This window comes from Homo sapiens, chromosome 6, assembly GCF_000001405.40.
Source record: "Homo sapiens chromosome 6, GRCh38.p14 Primary Assembly".
Classification (NCBI taxonomy): domain Eukaryota; kingdom Metazoa; phylum Chordata; class Mammalia; order Primates; family Hominidae; genus Homo; species Homo sapiens.
In genome coordinates, this window is record NC_000006.12 from 128,387,559 (window position 1) to 128,411,728 (window position 24,170).

The following is a 24,170-nucleotide window of genomic DNA, read 5'->3' on the forward strand; positions in this document are numbered from 1 at the left end:
CTATCCTGCTGGTTCCCCTAATAATAAATTAATCTATCTTTAGCATACACTCACATACACAGTGTATAACACTTGACTCTTTCTTCGTTTTGGAGGTTTTTTTAAATAAAGTATGTTCCCTTATTTATTCCACATCATAAAAATCATAAGGAAAACAAGAGACAATGAAAAATTCTAGTGAGTAACAATGGCAGGTTAGAAAGATAAGGTAAGCTTACTAGGGGTAGGAAGATACTGCATATGTAACATATGCAGTAAATGCATGAAATTAAGGGAAACCTGATGCTAGGCTGAATAACGCATTAGAGCAGGGGCATCCAATCTTTTGGCTTGCCTGGGCCACCCTGGAAGAAGAAGAATACACTAACACTAACGACAGCTGATGAGCTTACAAAAAAAAAAAAGCAAAAAATCTCATAATCTTTGAAGAAAGTTTACAAATTTGTGTTGGGCCATATGCAAAGCTATCCTGGGCAGCATGTGGCCCACAGGTTAGACAAGCTTGCATTAGAGAATACAATGCTGTTTTAATAAATGCTTTATTTGTGCATTCTTCTAAATCCCACAGCTTTGAAACTCTACTTACAGATCTATGCTAACATATCTATATCAAAGAGTATCCCAGGAAAGTTTTTTGTGTTTATTTATTGATACTTATAAGACATAAGGAGGAGACAACTAAGAACCTCTTTTTCTTCAGGATACTGTTGTGTCTGAATTTTGTACCTGGAATAGCCATAGATTTTAGACCTTTAAAGAGAGATAGCCTGAGGTAAAAAGATGACCTACTGAATGGAGAGGCAAAGACATAAGAAAAAATCTGAATTATTGATGAAATCACTGAGCCACTGAATGAGCCAACTCTGGACCTTTTGTTATGCGAAAGTAGCCTTCCTTATGGTTTAAACACATTTGTAGTTGTGCTTCCCATTACTTGCACTGGAAAAGGCATAAGAGATACAACTTCTGCCACACCTCCAAGTCAGCCCTGAAGCTTTTTGCTGCAGTCTCTAAAGAAAGATCTCTACATATACTTGTTTTATAAAGTTCAAAGGTTAAATCCTTATCCTATATCTCTATATACCTGGATTCCTAGCCTTGCCTTTCCCAAGACATAAAACCTTTGATAATTTACTTAGGTTCACCTGACTTCAGTTCCTTCACCTACAGAATGATGTAAATACATATTCCAAAGGCATTTTGGGAGAATTAAGTGAAATGACATATTTTAAATGCTTGGGATCAGACAGAAGGAGTCAGAGAATTATTTTTTAAGTATCCAGTAAGTCTGACCTAACATGGATAAAAATTACACACTCAAAACATAACTTTTGAATAGTCAAAATTGCCACCCTACTTTCCTATTTAATCTCCAACTCTTAAATAACTGAGGTGGGAGGAACATACAGAAATACATAACCAGCTTGATGAAGTTTGTAAAACTGTCCTATTTAATTTTATTCTCATAAACCTAGAAAAAGCAAGCCAGCGTCTTTTTAATCAGCATGGCTAGGTGGAGACTTCATGATGCTGTGAGCATTTCTAAGTTGTCATATGCTCTAAATTTAGAAAATGTTCACTTTTCATTGAAAAATACATCTCAGCCAATAATTTCCTCTTTGGTGAGGGAGTAGAGGTCTTTACAACATACCACTCTTGGCAGAAACTAGGTTGGAAAACTAACATTCTTCCAAGATTTTAAAGCATCTTTTATATGTAATGATAATCTAATATATAATCATAACTCCATATTTTTCACATTAATTATAAGAGATAATTAATATCATATATATTTTTAATAATTCCTAGTTACCTACCTTTTCTTGTTTGCTCGGTTTTTTTTTGTTTTTTTTTGTTTTTTTTGTTGTGTGTGTGTGTGTGTGTGTATGTATTTCCCTGGCATTCTTCTTGTGTTTGAAAGATAATAAGCTTTTAAACTGAGATAGTACCTACCTATCTTGAGTCAAGTTTATTTTTGGAGAGGAGAAGTATAAGGTCATAACTGTATTTTCGGTCACACTCCTACCAGGGAAAAGAAATTTTGAGTCTTTGGACTATGTATTGATTTTAAGGTATATGTTAAAGGTGACTATATAGTCTTTGAAATTGCTGTGTGTTCCTATCTTAATTCATCTAGGAGGTTGGAAGTTCTCTAGCACTGACACCTATATTCATTTTTATTTCCTTTTTTTTAATACTAGGCTATTCTTTTCCCCTGAAATATATTAGGACATATCTAACTTAGATGCATTATGTACCTGAAATATCAGGAAAAAATTCCAGTCTCAGCATGCCATTTCTGTCCACTGTAATTTAGACATTTTTCATGTTGCATTTATGTCTGCGAGGGTAACAGTCCTTACATTAAAAACCAGCCTTCATTAAGTGGCTTACCCTTCAAGTAGTCCATTACAGCCTTTCACTCTCTCACCTTGCACTGCTTCCAACTCCCACTGTTTTTAATAAGCAACTCAAATGTGGCAAACTATCTTCTCTGTGCAGAGGGCAAAAGCATCAATAGACAGATGATAACATGGTTTGGAAGAGCACATTGAAATAAGCCCATAATTCTCATCCTAAAATACCTCACTGCAAACAAAGACTTAAAATTATTTTCAAACCCTAGACTTTAGTCTGATTCCTTTCGTCCATGATTTTTTCTTTTACCATACATGCTCTAATGAGACAGCAGATAACATATGTGTTTCTAAAGGTTTGCTTAAACAGACACGCAGCAAGTGTTTATCAAATAACTAAAAATAACATACACATAAATCAAAGGAAGGGCAAAGCGTCTCCCCAAGGGATGAGAATATCATAGAGAAAATCCTGAAGCTTGGCAGCAATTCCAAACAACAGTGAGTCTCAGATTCCATTTCCCACAAAGGGTAAGAAACAGTCATTTAAAGCTTTCAAATTGTGGAAAGAAGTATTTTAAATGAAGTAGTAGAAGATCATTCTGGATTAAATCAAATAAATTATATAGCTCATTATATAGTGGATTTAAATAAATGCCCATGCCCAAGTCAAGGAAATTTGTCAACTCAACTGCAGTGATGAAGCACGGTGGTACTGGAACAAGAGTAACTTTTATATTAGACAGACAGATTTAAGTTCCAATTCTGTCCCTGGGTGACAATTATTCTATCACTCTCTGCCATGTTTTGTCTCTGGTAGATATGCTGTTAAGATATTCACTCCACTTATCTCCGAAATATCACCAATTTTATAAGGCTCTTGTGAAGATTAGAAGATACATGTCATGTCCCTGGTATAGTAAAACTCAGTAAGTGACCAGTAAGTGGTAGCTAATAGTAGTAAGTACTTTCATCTCAGAGATGCTTTTCTAAAAGTGCTTGAGTCTGCAACATCATTGTTTTCAAACTACCCTTTGGAGCCATATGTCTCTACGTGTTTTTCAGAGAAGCCATCTTGATGGAGCCAGGGTGGTATAGAGAAAGGGGTAGATGGTGAGAATGTAGGGGATTATAAAACAGATAAGTTCCAGGACCATTCATTCCTTGTCATTGATTTTAAATATTAAAGTGATAGAAAATATTATTTTTTTAAAAAAGAATTCTATTACTTAAAAAAAAATCTGAAAATCATTGAATGACGCATAACCTTCCAGCTTTAAACATCTGAAGTTTTCACGCTCCTTAGAATCTAACACCTATATCCAGTACTTTTTGAGGTTTTCCCATCTACGTTAATGGCCTCATGTTAAGCCCTTCCTCTCCCCATTACCACCAAATCTCTCAGTTCCCCTTAGGACAACTGCACATGTTCACACACACTCTCTTTGGTTGTGTTAACAGACAATGCTAAGTAGATGACAAAAAGAAAGTAAACCAACATTTTGGCCTGATTTTCTCAATCTCGTAATACAAAACTAGCGATAATATTGCAAGCTAATATTCATTGCCAATACTACATGCACAGAACTTTATTCTACCAATCTCTGCCATGTTTTGTCTCTGGAAGATACACTGTCAAATAATTCTGTTAATTCAGCTGTGTGAGATTTTTGACAGTTATGGCTTTGTAAAAAACTATGCTTTTTTATTAATCATCTATAATAGGGGGATGAAAATATTAGTCAAAGTGATCCACTACTTTTAGTAACTGATCACTGTTCCCAGAGAGAAAGAAAGCCTAAGTCAACATAACTTCCTTGAAATTTTTTCTCAGATGTATTAAAATGTGTTCCATGGCATATATAATATTATTTTAATAAATTATTACTAAATTAAATAAATTATTACTAAATCTTCTCTTATAAAACTAAGAGACTCATATCATTACTTAGGAAACTTAGCTGAAATCATGTTACCTATAACTTTTATTGTATGCATCAAATTATGGACACCCATGTCTTATTTAATTTTCACTTCATCACAGTATCAGAAGAAAGCCAGGTACAAAATCATGTGACCCATGCATGCTCCCCACTGAATAAAAAAACACACCAAATCTCTCCAAATAAATAATTGAAAAATGGTCCTGGAATTATCTGTTTTATAATCCCCTACATTCTCACCCCTACCCCTTTCTGTATACCACCTGGCTCCATCAAGGTGGCTCCTCAGAAAAACACTTAGAGACATATGGCCTTAAACTACTGAATCAGACCTCACTAAGTTTTATAAGGGAGGAGGAGTGGTTCCTTACTTCAATCTTCAGAGTAATTTAACAACAAAGGGCTTTCATTTTTTACTATATATACAGTGTGTGCATTTTAAATAAAGAACTCTGTACAGTTATTTTCATTATTATCAGTGAAAACACTAGACTGAAGGTGGGATACAATTCAGTCATAATTTTAAATACTATCAAATAAGTTCTCTAGAGACTCTAAACTAAAATTCAATTAGCTATTTTGCAAAAACCTGTTAAAAATAAAAAGCAGTTATAATTACAGTCAAAGATAAATGTATTGAGATGTCAGTCACAATCCCTACTCTCAGATCTAGGAGAGAACATATAGTAAAATGGTCAAATAAATTTATTTCATGAGGTCATAAGCATAAAAAAATTGACAAACAATGTCAAGAACACACATGTCTTTGAGATCAAAGAATGATTTCTAGTTCTATGCAACAGCTCTTATTCTCTATGGGTTCTGAAAATATATATACAATAGACTTTTGAGGGACAGAAGATCGGAATTTGACAAGCAAAAGTCAAAAACAAAAAGAGAGAAAGAAATATGAAAAGAGAACACTTTTTTGATAGAATTAACAACATTTAAGTGTATCCAATATAGATAGGTAATATTTATAAAGACTAAGGTCAAATCTTAATAATTATGTAAGGGTCTAATTACATAAAAATCTCAACTCAATATAATGTTTGGTAAATGGGGTATTTTTGAATTCAATTAATTTTCTAACAAGAGGAAAAACATCTTGTTTAATTCTTGACAAAAATATTTTAAAACTTACATTACAGAAGTTGACATTTTTGTCTAAGAAAAATAATTTTTTTTGAGAAATAAAACACAAAAAAATATGGTCTATGTTCATAAGGACTTTTTTTTTTTTTTTTTTTTAAGACAGAGTCTCACTCTGTTACCCAGGCTGCAGTGCAGTGGCCTGATCTCGGCTCACTGCAACCTCCGCCTCCCAGTTCAAGCAATTCTCCTTCCTCAGCCTCCTGAGTAGCTGGGATTACAGGCAGCTGCCACCATGCCTGACTAATTTTTCTATTTTTAGTAGAGACGGGGTTTCACCATGTTGCTCAGGCTGGTCTCGAACTCCTAACCTCGTGATCCGCCCGCCTCGGTCTTCCAAAGTGCTGGGATTACAGGCGTGAGCCACCACGCCCGGCTGTTCATAAGGACCTTATAGTCTAATGGACAGAAGGACATATAAGAAATATACTATAAAAATAGCTACAATTTAAGTAGTACATAGTACAGTGGGCCGCATCTTCTGATATGAGGATAGAAGAAACAGAGTTTCAAGCCAGTCAGGAAAATCTTCTCAAAGCAGGTAGAACGTGAGAAGACACAGTAAAAATGGGTAAGAGATTAACGAATGGATAAGCAGACAAAGAAATATTTCAGCAGAGGGAAAAGAACAATACAAGGCCCACACAAAGATATCAGCGAACACAGTATTTATTTAGTAGGGAGGAGAGAATCCAGTATGGTAAGAAAACTAGAAGTTTGGACCCATTTGAGGATATCTATTTTATATCTTTTGTTCTAATCCATGACATTTTATTTATTATTTTAGTTTCCCAGCCTTGTGTGCATTGGTTTTTATTTTTTTCAATTTACATTGACATATCAGATACATAAAGAAAAGTACACAACTCATCATTGCACACAGCTCAATGACTTTTTACAGATTTCAGCACACCTCAAACTGTAAAACGCCATCCAGATTAAGAAATAGAATATCATCACCAGCATCTGGAAGACTCCTTCATGCCACCTGACAAGCACTAACCATCATTACCCAAACCCTCCTTCAAGTAAATAATATGCTGATTTCTAATATCATTGATTAGTTTTGCCTGTTTCTGAAACTTACATAATTTATATAAATGTATATAATACATACTCTCTTGCATCTGGTTTCTCTCCCTTAAGATTGTGTTTGCGAAATTCATTCATGTTATTGTATAAAGCAATGGTTCTTTCATTTATTTGCAGTACAATATTTCACTTTATGAATATGCCACCATTTATTTATACATTGCACTGCTGACAGACATTTGGGTTGTTTTTAGCTTGGAACTATTATGAATGCTGATGCTATCAACATTCTTGCACATGTCTTTTGGTGAACATGCATACTCAGTCCTGCTGGGCTTATACCCAAGAATGGATTTGCTGGTCACAAGGTTGTACAGATTTATGCTCCAACAGTAGTATTAGAGGGTTTTACTTATTCTACATTCTTACCAACACTTGGAATTAAAATTTTCATTTTTCCACTGATTGTACAGTAGTTTCTCACTGTGTTTTAAATATGCATTTCTTTGATGACTGAGTTAAGTAGGTGTTCATAATTTCATATGATTTGGGGACACTAGAACTGTCTTATGAAGTACTCATTCTTCTGCATGCTATTTTTTATTCTATTTGGCAGACCTTTCAGTCATCATCATTGTAATCTGACCAAACTAGTATGTGGAACTGTGTAGTAAGTAGTAAGTAGGAACTGCTACAGAACATTTTAAGCAATGATTGATGGTACTGTATCTCCTCATGAATAGAAACAATTTTTTTTATTATTCTCTACTATCTATCTTCAGTCTTCTTTCATTCTAATCTATTTATTCATCCTTTTTTCTCTCACTCTTGGCTTTCAGTCCAAAAAGTTAATAAACAGAAGCCAGTTAATAGCACCAAGTATCACACAGTTCAATAACAAGTTAGGTTTGGAGAGCCAGCTTTTATAGAGTTCCCAAACATTTGGGGTTTTTTGTTTGTTTTGTTTTTGTTTGTGTTTTTAAAGTACATAAAGAAAATAAGCATGCTTGCTAATTTATGTGACAATAAAAAGATCATAACATTTTAGCATGAAAAATCTAAATGTCTCCTTTACACCAATTTATGAGCAAGGAATATTCAGTCAGCACTTTAAAGGAATATCAGAAGGAAAATGAAAAAAATAGTATCTATTATAAAAAGAGATGACTAAAAGAATAACATACATGAGTGCTTTCTCTCACCTCTCTGAAGACTAAACACTGTTTCATTCGGCAAAGTGGCCGTGACCTTTTTCCCTCCTCTGCATGATTAATTACTTAATGTCCTATTAATTGGAAGATATGGCTGAATTTCAAATGCTTTCATTTTCTGTGCATATCATCCTGTACTGTAACCACCGATTAAGCTGTTCATCAAAGGTGAGCCAACAAGGTCATCTGAGCAGTAATTCTTCAACTATTCATTACCCACCATCAATGGTAATTAGCAATGGTAACATTTCCATAAATCAACATCTTTCTTATTATTCTATGATGATAAACATTCAAAATGTGTGCATCCCAGCCCACCCACATCCTTTAATTTTATATGAAAAGTTTAGTCTAAATATACCACAGAGAAAATTCAGGTGAAAAATTACAGTAGTTTAATTAAAATGCACCAGGAAAATAAGGTTACATACCTTTGAAAGAAAAAATACAAATCTACGCACAAAATTAAATGAGTCTGCTGACAAAGTAGGGGTCAAATATAAGAAACAAAGAGTGTCAACCACACAGTTCCAGTTTTCCCTCTGCAAAGGAAATTATGGCTCAGTTCAGCCTCAAAAATAACCATTTCCTACTCAATCACGGAGAGTGACAATTCAGAGTAAAAAGCAAATTTAATTCATTCTATTATAAAAGTACACATCACGGGGGAACCAACACAAAATTTTTCAAGGAAATATTTACCATATTCATTTACAAACTAAAAATTACATTTAGAAATGTAACTTTTAGGTTTTATTTACTTTGTGTGCTTGTGATAAATTGTTTATTGTTGATGTTTTCACTTTTTTTTTTAAATCACATTGATCAGCAAGTTCAGGGATGCTGCTGATAGAATTTTCTCTCTTCAATAAGCAGAATTAACATTTTCATTTCTAATGGCTATGTCTAAAATTGTCATATCTAAAATTCACACTCAAGAAGGACTTACTCTTTTTGTAGAAAAATTAATTCTAAACCATTTTTAATCATAATAAAAATACTAAATATACTTTGAAACCTAAATTATTAGTACTAAGCAATCAGCACATTAATTATATTATATATTATAATAGCATAATGATAATATATTATATATACATAACTATATATAATATATAATTATGTACTATTTTTGTTTCTTTCTAAATATTGGAAGGAAAAGAGTTTGTTCTCTTTCATGTTGTATTTTTAAATTCCTGTTTACATTTTAATGTCACAATTTAATGTTATTGCTAAGCATATACGCACAGAACTTGGAATTTGCTCCAGATTAATATGCAGAATTGAAAGCACAACTATTAGTCCAATATTGTATGAAATGGTATGTAAATATTGACATCCTATGTTAATGTGTTTTTCCTAAGATGAAACATAATGCACACTGTTTTAAACAATTATAAATTATATTATCTCCCAAAACCCAAAATCAAAGGATATAACAAAGTAAGGTAAAAAACGAAAAGATGCTGGGCGCGGTGGCTCACGCTTGTAATCCCAGCAGTTTGGGAGGCCGAGGCGGGCGGATCACGAGGTCAGGAGTTCGAGACCAGCCTGACCAACACAGTGAAACCCCGCCTCCACTAAAAATACAAAAATTAGCTGGGCGTGGCAGTGCACGCCTGTAGTCCCAGCTACTCAGGAGGCTAAGGCAGGGGAATCACTTGAACCTGGGAGGCAGAGATCGCAGTGAGCAGAGATCAGGCCACTGCATTCCAGCCTGGGTGACAGAGTGAGACTCCATATCAAAAAACAACAACAACAACAAAAGAACAGATCTGGCCCTATTTCTCTATAATTCCCACATAAAAGATCTCCATTTGATACTTTTGTCTCCACACTGCCTCCCCTCAGAGTCACTGGCATGCTCATGACCACTGGGAGAAAGACACAACCTCTCTCCTTACAATGTAATAAAATTCTTTCCCTTCAGTCTGATTGGATCCAACATATACAATTTAATTGAATAACTACGAAAAGAGCTGATCCCACATTTGAGAATTTTTTGGAAAGGATTTTTTTTTGTTTATTCTGTTTTTTCTTTTATTTTTTGATTTTTGGTTTGTCACTTGGGTTTTTATTAAATAGAAAAAAACACTAATACTTATCTTTTTTTTTTCAAAGACAACAAGGAATACAGAATTACAGAAAGTTATTAAGGGAAAGGCAAAGAATAAGGCTCTTAGAAGTGATCCAGTAGCACAATAATTTAGCTTATTATAACCATTAAATTATTGTTGTTACACTTTAAATAAGAAAATCATAGATACTGCAAAACTATTCCCCCAACACTGACTAAACAGAGTGACTCTCACCTTGGGGCATCTCGGGTGGTAGATAATGAGGCTCTTGAGCACTAACATGCACCCATTCAAAGTCATCATACAGATCCTGGTGGTAATCACAGGCCCCTGGACCATCATCAAAAGTACAGCCACCTAGGAGAAAAGAAGACTACTGTTACATTCTAAACAGATTTTCCAAACATAACGAAAGTTCTGGAGAAGGAAATGTTATATTGATATATATAATGTTACTCACAATCTTAATAATAAATGGTACTCCTGTTTATCACTATTCTCTTTAAATTTTCACAGAAAAATAAATGTCTATCAGTACTTTCTGTTTGAAAAAGAAGCCCATTTGAGACCCAGAAGGAAGACTGAGGCACAGATTTTGAATTATTAAAAATAATAGATACATGCATAAGTCAGGCTTTCTTGAAATATACAAAGTGTTAGTGGTAGAGGATCTTGACTGCAAGTTGTCCAGGTTCTTGGCGTCTTGAACAAAGAATTGGACAAAATCCACACCAAAGCGAGGAAAGAATGAAGTAACGAAAGCAGAGATTTACTGAAAATGAAAGTACACTCCACACTGTGGGAGTGCGCGAGCAGCAGCTCAAGGGAACAGTACGGAATCTTCTCAGGTCCAAATACCTCCCTAGAGGTTTCCGATTGGCCACTTGGTGTTCACCTCATGTAAATGAAGTGGTGGCCCGCAATCAACATTTTACAGTACTTTCTGCAACCAATCAGAGGTACTTTCAATTTTCCATCACCACTCAGAAAACAAGGAAGTTTGCAAAGGGAGTACGCTGTGGTCCTTCTGTTACTAAGGCCTGGAAAGTTGGGGTTTTCCTTTCTATTTAGTTCTAGGACGTCAGGTGAATCAGCCTTAGGTTCCCTGCCTCCGGACCCTATTCTCCTGCCTCACAAACCACCTGGAGTCTAAATCGTTTTTAGTAACTTTAGTGGTGAGAAGTAGAGGAAGAATAAGAGTGAAAGTTGTCTTCCTCTACAATGCAAGTTCAAGAAGGTGAAATAATTTAAGTTTTACTAACATCTTTGCTTTAAAAGAACTCTTTGAAATCTCATAATAGCCAATGAAACATAAAGCTTTTTAGGGTCTAAAGTGTTTGAGGTCTGTGATATCTTTCATGCTTTATTTAGATTACTTTCATACACAATTATGATTTAAAAGGTTGGGGGTGACTCAAGCATAAAACCAATCAGATTAGCCTATAATCACTTTCACCGTTCCCACTTTATTTAATAACTTGGTCTTTTTAAACGGGGGTAGCATTCCCCATTTGCATCAGTCATGGTTTTTCTGGCGTAATTTTCAGGGGTAATTGTATTGCAAAAGTAGAAGGATTATTTTTGCTTCTTAGGCGATGTGTACAGGCACACACGACTCAACATATTTAGTTTATTCAAATCATGAAAATAAGAACTGGCCTATATGTCTCATCTTGAAAGAAAATGCATTAGAACTAACGAAAATCCAGCAGTGGGTTTAATGAGAAAAACCAATAACCTGTCTCCTTTCAAATAGTGTATTTGTTCAGTTTCCATAGGGATCTCTGTGCAGAAACTCAGTGAATTCTCTGACCAAGCAACAGACTAAGGAGTAGTAAACTCCAGTGCTGTAAATTCTTCTCTGTAAAAAAAAGGAATTTACTTTCCTCATCAAAAGTTTGGCAATCTGAGTATAAGTGAAAGTTACACTGCTCACCAATGACAGGGAGGGGTCAGTGTCACAGGCAAAGCAGGAGACATCAGAGATGTCATGGTGGCACTACAAGCTCTGAAATCTTTTCCAAAAGGAGAATATGTTGAGTGTATTCTTGAATCACTCTTATGACTACAGCAATCCTATAAAACAACCAAACTCGAGAACTCAAAACCTTAATATTGTCTTTTAAATATGCTTAAAATAGACCTTTTATAAATGCTCTCATTAAAAAAGATGTACTTTTTAATTTAAAATTAACCAATGAAAATAGGTTGCTAGGAAATGTATCTTCACATAGCAAGAGGAAAGTTTTTCTCAAAATATAATTTGCTATCAAACTCTAAAATAATTTACTGCTTTGTAACACAGGCCTTCAGGGCCCCCATTACCCTTTATAATAGTGTGAGTGCCCTCTGTATATAAATTTAAACTACCAGTGGGACCCACATTGACTCATTTGAAAGACAAATGGCCTTAATTGCTCTCCTTCATAGCCACTGTTAATTTTAGACTACAGGATTCTGATTAGCAATAACAACTAGGAGTAGCTGTACAAAATAAGTGGGTCAATGCTTGCTATTTGTTGCACATCCCTTCCCTATCTGAAATTTGTCAAAGGAGTCTTGAAAATCATTACTGGTCTACTTGACTTGAGTAATAAGAAAGCTTTTTAAATAATTTTTAATTTCTAATTTACAACAAGGTCTAATCCAAGAGGCATAAAATATAGCATACTAATAAAACTTTTACAAATTTTTTTGTAAAGAATTTTGTATTTCAAGGTTAAGGGCAAATACAGTATACTGGAGTAGATGATAGGAAATGCAAAAATAACTGGACTGATAAATGAGACAAACTATGGGAGACATATATATTAAAATAAATACAATGTGTTATGCGGGATAATAATATGATGAAAATTCCACAGAACATTAAAGAATTGGCTACTCACACCAGGGTTGGTTAGGGAAGGTTTCAATGAGTTACTCATAGTGAATATGAGGAAGGATATACCAAACAGAGCAAAGCCAGAATGGAAATGGGAATAAAACTAGAGGAAAAGCAAGATCAAAGGCATATAACTCTAAAGGAACATCATATGTTGTGAAATTTCAAATAACTCTGTATAATGAGCATCCAGAATACATAGGAAACTAGGAAGAAATGAAAGTAAATACGAAAAGTTTTAGATGTCAGAAAAAGGAGTTTAGAGTTTGTTCTACAGCTGTATTAAAATCTTTAAAAGATTTTATCCAAGAGTATGAGGCAATTCAAGCCACATTAAAAAAATGGTAATAACCCATGTTGAGTTAAAAGAGGAATAGAGGGAAACAGAGGAAAATAATTTGTTTCAACCTTGTAACAGAGAGCGCATAATATATCCTGAACTAATTCCATCATATACAGTTCCTATTGACCATTTAGGACTCACTAGAAAGGCCTAAACACCAAGTCCTCTATCATACGTGGTCCTCAATACATGTTCTTGAGTTCAAGACATCTTTATGTATAGTATTACATAAATCTATTTAAAAAGAGAAATGTCATAGCAAGCTCCTAATTCATAAATTAAAACATACCTTATGAATTTAAAGTTTCACTGAGCTGGATGGCAGATGGCAGAACAGAAAGAGGTAATACCAAACTGGTGTTCAAGAAATTTAGTTAGGCAGAGGGAAAGAAAAATGAGCAAGGAAACATTCCATTTCAGCTGTTTCATTTGCTACTGGTAATAAGGCTACAATGAGTAGCTGCAAATCATGCCAGAGAAATGGTGACCACAGTTCCTTGACCTTTGGAGGAAAATTACTTCTGAAGAGCATTTCACAGACTGCTAATTCCTCTACGCCAATCAATCAACTAAGGGACAGATCTATCACCGAAATGGTCTGTTTCTATGATAGCAAGCCACTTAAGGGGTTGGCAACCTGTTCATCTGAAAATAAAAATCAAGCTGATATGAACTTGCCAGAATATCTTTTTACTCCGAAACTGCTCGGTGAAAAATGTGGTACTAAGTAGTATTAGACACCAAAAAGATTAAACATAAAAAGGAAAGAAAAGTAAGTACCCCTGACCCCAAAACTATATTGCCTAAACATCTAGCATTTAGATTCTTGAGTGCTTATTTAAACAGAGGGTAAAAGCTCTATGAGAGAACACGGAACCAGAGACATTTTCTGTAGAATCAGGAAAAAATGAATACTAAATTTAAGTCCTTTCTGAAGTCAAACTTTTCAATAAAACCTGGGGTCACGTTAATTTAAACAAAGTTGAACTGAAGAAAAATGAAAAGTCGTAGATCACTGGAGAGCCATGAAGGACATTCTTTTAAAAGATTATTGTCCTAAGATCTTCCACACTCTCCCCTCCATGGCACCTCTAGATTCTTAATTTTCTGACTGAGTACAGTAGCAAGAAACAAATAGAATTATCTTTCATGGTTCTTTACTGTTTGTAAAGAACAAGCTTTATTTAGCTGAAGATATGAAGCATTTTCTTAAATTTTTGGAATATATATAGTTTTTTCAAGTAAAAAGAAAGTCCAAGACAAAATAAGTTGGAAAATACAATATCCTTAGTAAAGCTGCTTGATGATCCTCAAAAATGGACAAATTAACCTTCTCCAATTGTGAATTAAGCTGTGATACATAACTTTGCTCATGTAAGTGATTATCAACTTGGAATGATCTTTCTTCCATTCAGGACACAGAGAAAGATTAATACATGTCACATTAGGACACATGCAATACTGAGTTAAGCTAACTTTGTCATCTATCTATGCTAATCAGAAACCATGATATAAATTTGTTGATATGATCTACAAAATTCATTACAAAAAAGCCAATATATTTCACAAAAATTGTAAAAAGAATGAAAATTACTAAATATCTTAAATGCAGTTCTATTGATAATCTGAGTAATACAGTTTATTCCCAGAAAAACACCTTACAGAAGTATAGAAATTAATGGTTTTGTTTGTTTGTTTTTGTTTTTGTTTTTGTTTAGAGATGGAGTCTCACTCTGTCGCCCAGGCTAGAGTGCAGTGGCGCGATCTCGGCTCACAGCAACCTCTGCCTTCCAGGTTTAAGCGATCCTCCTGCCTCAGCCTCCCCTGAGTAGCTGGGACTCGTGCCACCATGCCCATCTAATTTTTGTATTTTTAGTAGAGACGGGGTTTCACCATGTGGGGCCAGGATGGTCTCAATCTCTTGACCTCGTGATCCACCCGTCTTGGCCTCCCAGTGTGCTGGGATTACAGGCGTGAGCCACTGCGCCCAGCCAGAAATTAATGCTTTTAAATAAAGTTCCTATTTCCTCTGAAATATACTGGGATATGCGAATCATTTTTTTTCCTTTTAACGCTACACTTCTGGGAATACTGAAGGTACAAAATAAAAACTGGCATACCGTGATAAATATTTAGGTACTTTATACCTGCTCTAATGATAAGCAACACTTTTGTTTTCCAATTTAAGTACTGAAATTAAAATAGGAAAAATTCCAAGTAGATACAAGTAACAAATGGTTTTAAGGGCATATTTATGAGTCACTGGTCATAATATATTGCTCTGGTTCATTACCAAAGAGGATCTACTAGAAGAAAACAGAAAATTTATGAATAGGAGTTCTTTAAATAATAATCACTTGAGATCCTGAAAGTATCCTTTGCCCTGCTTGTAGTTAATTAGGGTGTGAAAATATTATTTAGGTCTAACTCCTTCATTAAGGAAAAACAACTAGAGACACATTTCAGGAAATCCAAACCCATTATTTATTGATAGGTAGAAATAACTCTTAATGATGACAGAAGAACTCACTTCAAACACAATTGTTACTTATCTAATTGTTCATCCCTTGAGTTCCATCTCTAGCCAAGAATACATGTTCATATAATCCAAGATTATTTAGCTAGTAAGACTTCTATTCAAACTGTATATTATTCGAAGCAGATGCTCCACTCCAACTAAATAAACAATCTTCAATAAGACTGAATTATCCAGAATGGAATAACAAGTTCAGTTCCACCCCCTTCATCTTTACAGAGAAACAACATTAAAATCCCTTATACATCTATGAATAAGGCTTAAGAATTTTAAGTATGGGCCATACATCATCCACGCAGGTAATAGAAGAGAGACAATATATCTAGACACAGCCTGGAGTAATGGCTAAATACATAAATAGCTTTCATATTTTACCTCTTTTAGCTTCAATTTCCTCCCCAGTACGATCAAAATAATAACAGTTATAGCACAGTGGTGTTAGGATTAGTCATAATGCATGTCAAGCTCCTAACACCCAACACAGTTTTTTTTTTGGTTAAAAAAGCATCCTTATTTTTTCATGTTTTATTCTTCCCAGTTTATTCTCTATATGCTATACAGATGCACATATTTAACAGCTAAGCCCTTAACAAAAAGAGAAATATGGTTTCCATCTAATATACACAGAAAGACTAAAAATAGTTTATATGAAGGCAATATTACCATATTGCCAAAACCAGTTTTACCTGAACACTCATCATATATACTTTCAAACAGTCAGGAAATACCTTCCTTTAGCGTAGGAGTCAGCAAACTTCATGTACAAAAAGCAAGTTAGTAAATGTTTCCAGTTTTGTGGGCCATGCCATTTTTGTCATAACTACAAAACTCTTGTCATAGTATCAAGAAGCCACAAAGAATACCTAACAAATGGGCATAGCTATGGCTGTACTTGAATAAAATTCTATTCACAAAACAGGCCACAGTCTGAATTTGGCCCAAAGTTCACCAGCCCTTGGTTTAGATCACTCTGATCTTAAACCATAGGCAGAACATAGTCTGGTTAAAAGCTTACAACCAAGAACCTTTAACTTCTGCATCACCTCCATATTTTCTTTCTCACATATTAAGAGGAGTAGCGGTGAGCCACAGCCAAGCAACTGAACCAGAAATGGAGAATGATAGTGCTACATCTGAAACCAAATCAGTTGTTTGGCTGGCAAGCAGTATGAGTAATAAAGTGAGACTAGAAAAGGTGAGAACTAGAGACACTTTCAAGGGCCTTCCGTCCAAATGCTTCAAGCTTGTAAGACCACAGTGGGAAATACCTCATGCCCTAGCATATACATGCATACATGCGTGCAAGTTATCTCCTACTATGCTTCACTAGTTCAGTGCTCTTTCCATAAATGAAATAAAATGAAGAATAGTTAGGTAAATCAAGGAATCAGCTATTAAAAGGAAAAAGGTCATCAGTTCTTTGTTTTAAATACAGGTAACCGCATATCCATTGTAGCAGGGGATCCCGAAGTGTGATCAATCCAAATCTTACCTAATTTTTAGCTCTCAGGTACAAGTTGGAATTCAAAAATAAGCCTCTGAGACCTGGGCAGCTCTGCCAATAAGTATGTGACTTCATCCAACCTCATTATTGGAGCTAATGGGTAATTAATTACATGCCAAATACCCATAGAAATGATTTCACAGATGAAAAGAGGTTTTGAAAATGTAAAAGGAACATGTTAGTGAAAAGTACCCCAAAGAAGAAAAAATGAAACTTGCCAAGAGTCACAGAGCAAGAAAGTACCAGAGCCAGGGGCTGAACCTAGGCACTATGGGTTCTTTACTCTTAAACACTACATTAAGTGTCTCCTAAAAGTGAGGCAGGATTAGCCATTTTCAGAATTATCCAGTACAGCTGCCTCCAATGGGCACAACCTCAAGAGAAGGTATTCCCCATTCCATCCATTTGGTAGCATGATGATGCTGCATCCTATGAGAATAGACATGTGGTAAACTTTGAACCATATAATATATCAACGTCTCTCAGGCATCCCTGATATCACTGACAGGAAAGGGTCTTTAATAGAAAAAGCTATAAAAGCCTAGCTAATTAACTAAAATTTCTACAAATAATTTTATTTAAATAGGGTGACTTAAGGCTGAAAATTTATATGATCATTAACACTATACTATCACTCTTGCTTGGCAACCTTCCCTTTTCACCTCACCTCCCCCTAAAGCATGTATAAACCAGTGAATTTTCTATCTTTGAAAACATTAAAAGCAATTTTGTTCGGACTATTTTTGCAGTAGCCCTTGCACAAACTGTAGGATAATAAACCAGGTGTTTTCCCAAAGATCATTAGTGAGTATATTTACCCAAGTTTCTTTTCCTATTTTTTATACTTTTAACTATTCCAGTAAAAGGTCTTTTTCACTTAGTGTTAGATACACAATCTAGAGAAATTCATCGAACAAAGCAACAGAGAGTAAATGTACTGAAAAATAAAATTCTCAACTGAAGCCATATTTACATTTTGGTAAAACTGGAAACCACCCAAGCTCACATTTAAACATATCTTTGTTTTGTTTTGTTTTGTTTCTCCTGGAGAGATTACTGATTACTGGTGGGCTCCACTTCACCCATATGAGACACACACTGGCTTATTTCAGCAGTTGCTCCTGACTTAGCTCAAGCATGATGGGAGAGAGATCATTTTTCTTTTTTTTTATGAAGGGACGTAAAACAGAATTCCGTGACCCAACCTCCTAGAGGAAGGGCAAAGACCTGCTTTGAGGGTTTGAATTTAAAGTTTTACTTCAGATTGGCAAAGGAAATTTAAGTATACTCAACTACATTTTAAGGAGGTCAACAATTAAGTTTTGTAGGACTTTGAAATACACTTCAAGAAAATAGATAACCAATTAATTTATGTAAATAATTAAAATGCATCTTGAAATCAAAAAACAAAAAAAAAGAACACTTTTTTAAGGAGGATCACTTGAGCCCAGAGTTGGAGACTACCCTGGGCAACATAGGGAGAACCCACCTCTACAAAAAATAAATAAAAAAAAATTAGCCAAGCATGGTGGAACGTGACTATAGTCTCAGCTACCCGAGAGGCTGATTACTTGAGCCTGGGAGGTCAAGGCTGCAGTAAGCCATGATCATACCACTGCACTCCAGCCTGGGTGGCAGAGTGAGACCCCATCTCAAAAATAATAATAATAATTATATATATAAAACTTTATCTTCCTATATTTTTCATTAATATTAACCCCCTTGCATATCAAAATGTTTCTAGACTAGGTTAACATAGAAGGCATATGGGCCAATGTTTGGGTTTTTCAAACTTCTTAAAACACAATTCTTAAGACTAAAGAATGATGGTTTTTTTCTGTCATTTTCTTTGGTTAGAATAGATAATTGGATATCATCCTCATTACAACCAGTATATTAACTATTGCTATTGGATACATTAACCAGTTCTTCTCATTCTAAGCATAATTTAATGACAGTTTAGCCTTCTGTCTGGTCCAGAGCAAACAAGCCACTCACACAAACACAAGCAAATCATTTTGTTAATGTTGACTGACATCAGAACCCTGGATGTCGGGGACCTTTGCTCCCTTTCTCATAAAGACAGCACTCTGGGTTTTAAGGGAAGTTTTAGTGAAACTTTTAAGATAATCTTTAAAGGTGTCAACTTCTAACCAAATCAATGCTGAAACCTGAATCACAGTAACTTTCTCCTCAAATTTCCTCCCTCAGTTGAGTGCATATGGTTACCATTTAGTGGAATCACCACATAAAGATTTCCCAAGCAGCAAAAAGCACTGCTTTGCACAGACATTTAAGTGACATGTAAGTCAATGGCCATTCTAACCTAACAAAGACAGTGTTAAAGGGGGGAATAGTGAATGAAATTTTACATTGGATCTCACCAAGATTCAGGTTTGTGTGTGTGTGTTCATTTCTATACCAACAAAGAAACTATTTGGACTCCCTCCAATTTCTGCTTCCAACTACTACTTAGAAACGTGTGTCAATTAATTTGAAAATTTCTCCACAATATCCTATGATATTAGAAGCTAAGTGCTGTGTACATTTAAGTCATCATTAGTTAGTATTTTAGTTAGGAAAACATCTAGATCAAGCTTGTCCAACCCACAGGCAATAATTTAATGGAGATAAGAAGTGAACCTTCTTTTGCTTCAAACTCTAGTATATCAGAAGTTCGTGGTTCCTAAGAACAGTACATATGAGAAGATCTCCAAACTTGAAATATTCTGATCTCATCAGAGTTAGATGATTGGGGCCTGGCACAGTGGCTCATACCAGTAATCCCAGCACTTTGGGAAGACAGAGGGGTTAGATTTCTTGAGCCTAAGAGTTCAAGACCAGCCTGGGCAACAAAGCGAGATCCCCATGTCTACAAAAATTTCTAAAAATTAGCCAGGAGGAGTGGCATACACCTGTAGTCCCAGCTACTTGGGAGGCTGAGGCGGGAAGATATCTTGAGCCCAGGAATTTGAGACTGCAGTGAGCTATTGTGCAACTGTACTCCAGCCTGATGGACAGAGCAAGACCCTATCAAAAAAAAAAAAAAAAAAAAAAGAAGAAGAAGAAGAAGAAGAAAGAAAAAATGATTCACTAAAGTATTATAAAACTCATTTATTCAACATTCTTTCAATTTTCCCTCCAGCCCTTGCTCTAAAACATAATGACCAAGTTTTAATCTATCAAATTGTAAGGTTTATTAAAAAGGTGAACACAGTTCTTCAGAATAAAATATAAAAACCAAGAAGTTTTTAAATTTCAAGTATGGGGGAAGAAAGCTGGCAAATATGATTTGCATAATAGATTAAAGCACTAGCAGTATGAAGATAGCATTTGAAGTCTGGTATCTTCTCTGTAGTATTATAGCTTTCATGACTCACTTCTCATCTCAAGCCATACCTTATATTTTGAAATATTCAAGTCACTAAAAATAGATAAAATAAATTATTACAATGTGTTTCTGACACGGACATCCTGGCAAGTAATTATTAAAAATAAAACTATCCTGGCTGGGCACAGTGGCTCACGCCTGTAATCCCAGCACTTTGAGAGGCCAAGGCAGACGGATCACCTGAGGTCAGGAGTTCGAGACCAGCCTGGCCAACATGGTGAAACCCCATCTCTACTAAAAATACAAGAAATAGTTGGGCGTGGTGGCGGGCGCCTGTAATCCCAGCTACTCAGGAGGCTGAGGCAGGAGAATAGCTTGAACCCAGGAGGCGGAGGTTACAGTGAGCCGAGATCGTGCCATTGCACTCCAGCCTGAGCGACAGAGCAAGACTCTCTCAAACAAACAAACAAACAAAAACTACCCCTAATTAATGTTCCAATAAACAGGAAAAATCTCTCAGCTTCACTATTCGAGTAAGGGCAAATTGCAACAAAAATGAAGAGTTTGTCTATATCATTTGCAAAAAAGCAAAGGATTGACAATATGTAGTATTGATCATAGAGGAGATAACAACAGGACAACTGGTACTTTGAGGGCAACTTGGTTTCATTTACCAAAGTTGTTAATATACTTGCCCTATAATCCAGCATTTTCACTTCTACCCTACATAAATTGTTGGCATATGTTTAGTCCTGAGTCCTACAAATACAAGCTAAGGCTACCAATACTGCTAGAAGCAAAAGCAAAATGTCTATGGGTCTTTTTAGATGAACCCAATGGCTATAGGAAAAAATTGAAAGAACAGACTTGAAGGGCACTGAGAGCAAAATGGCTTGCAAATATACCCTCAAACTTTGGACTAATGAATAATAGTAAGATATCATGATAGTCAATTCATGTGGAGAATCTAAATACTCAACAATTGATTAAGACAAAGCATATTTTAAGAAACAACATAGGATCTAGCAATTATTTGGCCAAATGCTGACAGAATAAAAAGATCCAAATATGTTACAGAGGTAAAGAGATGTTGAATCAATTACAAAAATGGAAAGAAGACAGTGTCATAGGAGATATGTGACATAAAAGTGTCCCTTCCTAGCCACGAACTGTTTCAGCTAGCAATTTAGTGGATTAAGAAAATAAACACAGGGAAACTACTTATGGGAAGCAACATTTTATGATAAGCTATCCAAGAAAAGATTGATTACACCAATAGCATTTTAAGTCAGCCAACAATAAACTTATCTAAAACATGGCTATAACTTCCTATTATTCTCCTGACATCTAATTACATAACTTACCTCCTTTTCACTTGTCATTTCAGTAACTGCAGGCCTTTTCTGAAGATAAAATCAGAATGCAAAATAGATTAGGTATAATAGAGGTAGACACATCATAAGTATTTCTGATGCTGCTTTATCTGGAAGGGATGGGTTTATAACTTTGCCAGAAGATGTAAATATGTATATTTTCATTATGAAATGCTTGAACTATGACTGTGACTACCTAGCTACTATTACTCATAACATTATTTAATTCAACATTTTTACTCATAGCCTGGCATTAGTAAAATAAAGTCTGTTCCTAGAAATAGCATTTTCAATTAGTGGTCTACAATACAATCAACTTGTAAAGTTACATGTTGATATGGTTTGGCTGTGTCCCCAACCAAATCTCATTTTGAATTCCCAGGTGTTGTGGGAGGGGGCCGATGGGAGGTAATTGAATCATGGAGGCAGGATTTTCCCATGCTGTTGTAGTTGTTATTAAAAGGGGGCGTTTTCCTGCACAAGCTCTTTTTGCCCGCTGCCATTCCACATAAGATGTGACTTGCTCCTCCTTGCCTTATGCCATGATTATGAGGCCTCCCCAGCCATGTGGAACTGTAAGTCCATTAAACCTCTTTCTTTTGTAAATTGCCCAGTTTCAGGTATGTCTTTATCAGCAGCGTGAAAATGGACTAATACACATGTTAAATGTACTAAGAAAAATAAGAAAATACCATCCAGGGTCAAGTCCTTTCCTAACCCCTCCTTTTAGCCCTCACCATTATGATTAATTTTAGTCTACGATTTGGTTATTACCATAGATTTTACTCAGACCAAGAAGGTACATGGAGGAAGTCAGGCTGGAGGAAGTAAGACATGAAAATCATGGTATAGAGCAAGCAATTAGCTGATATTCCAAGTAATTGTATTTGTCTAAGATTCTTTCATGAAATGCATTCGGGTTATTTTTCAACAGCTTTTAACCTCCAACCAGTGAAGGACTGCTGTATCTAGAAGGAAATATGTGCACCCTCTCCCTGCTGCGATCAGCTCAACAAGTAAATATACCCACAAAACGAGAATCATCCAATTTATAGGATTCTGCAGTTCACCCTCAGTCCCCTTTAACAATCTATAAAAAGGATTGACTATGTTTCATATGAAGATTTGTTTTTCATATATTCTGAGCATATTGTAAAAGAGACAAAAACTACTTTTTGCTGGGCAGATATTGGCAATAACATAGTCATGTTTTCAAGAAATATTATTTCTACCAAAACATTAAAAATCACTATGAATGATTTGTCATGTGGCCTTGCATCGGGCTGTGGTAACCTCCACAACAGGCAGTCCTAAATTGGAGTATCTGTGATTTCTTTAAAGACCCTAACAGCATAATGAGTGAAAGTCTACTGAATCTGACTCAACGGCATTAACTGCATCTCCAAGGGTGAAGTGAGAACTGTGTGAGTCAAAGAAAACTTTATAGTACTATAAAATACTGGTGTAGAAGTCACAGGGGAGGGGAACTGCAGGGTAAGTGAGGGTGAGAGCTGACTTCCTGCCCAATCACTAACTTGGCTGAGGCTGGGCCTTCAGTGGCAAAACTTCCTTACCAGCCTTACGTTTGTTTGTTTATTTTCTTTTTGAGATGGGGTCTTTGTTCTGTCGCCCAGACTGAAGTGCAGTGGCACGATCTTGGCTCACTGCAGCCTCAACCTCTGGAGCTCAAGTGATCCTCCTGCCTCAGACTCCTGAGTACCTGGGACTATAGGTGCATGCCACGACGCCTGGCTAATTTTTGTATTTTTTTGTAGAGACAGGGTGCTGCCATGCTGCCCAGGCTAGTCTCGAACTTCTGAGCTCATGCGATTCACTCACCTCAGCCTCTCAAAGTACTGGGATTACAGGCATGAACCACCACACCCGGCCTACCAGCCTTAAGTTTATAATCATAATCACAACCACAGCAAATGAACACACTCCTCTTCTTAAGCATTTCGGACACAAAGTTAAGCTCTCCAAAAACTCAGGGTGCCAGCCATATTGTACTTTTTCTAAATCTCAATGTTACCTGGAAGAAAAGTCAGATGTAAACTAGTCAACATTACTATCTACATTAAATAGAGAAAATATAAACACACACAGAAAACAGAAACATCTTTTCCCAGAGAGAAAGTAGGTGGGGCCTTAAAATTTTTCACTCCTAAATTGAGAGCAGTTTTACTTCAGTTCAATGATCAAATCTATTCTCTACATATTGACAGCTTCAAGCAGATATAAGTAGCAGCAAATTACAATACGTGCCATTTGGAATGCAGTTTTACAATTATAATCTTTAGCTGCATTACATTCACAAAACTCAGAAAGGCTTTATGGATCTCAAAGGGGACTAATGAAAATATTTGGTCAGAACACAAATGAAGTGTAAAGCCAATAGCTATTTTTAAAATACAAAAATTACTTAA

General features: G+C 35.5%; 1 protein-coding gene across 6 annotated transcripts in view; it reads right to left on the minus strand.

The window, feature by feature from the left end:
- Positions 1-24,170, minus strand: part of PTPRK (protein tyrosine phosphatase receptor type K) — a 551,815-nt gene that overhangs the window by 418,774 nt on the left and 108,871 nt on the right. For all 6 annotated transcript variants that reach the window (NM_001291984.2, NM_002844.4, NM_001135648.3 and 3 more), the window contains exon 2: positions 10,008-10,130. In NM_001291984.2, the coding sequence (NP_001278913.1) occupies positions 10,008-10,130 (123 nt within the window). The remainder of the gene's footprint in view (positions 1-10,007; positions 10,131-24,170) is intronic.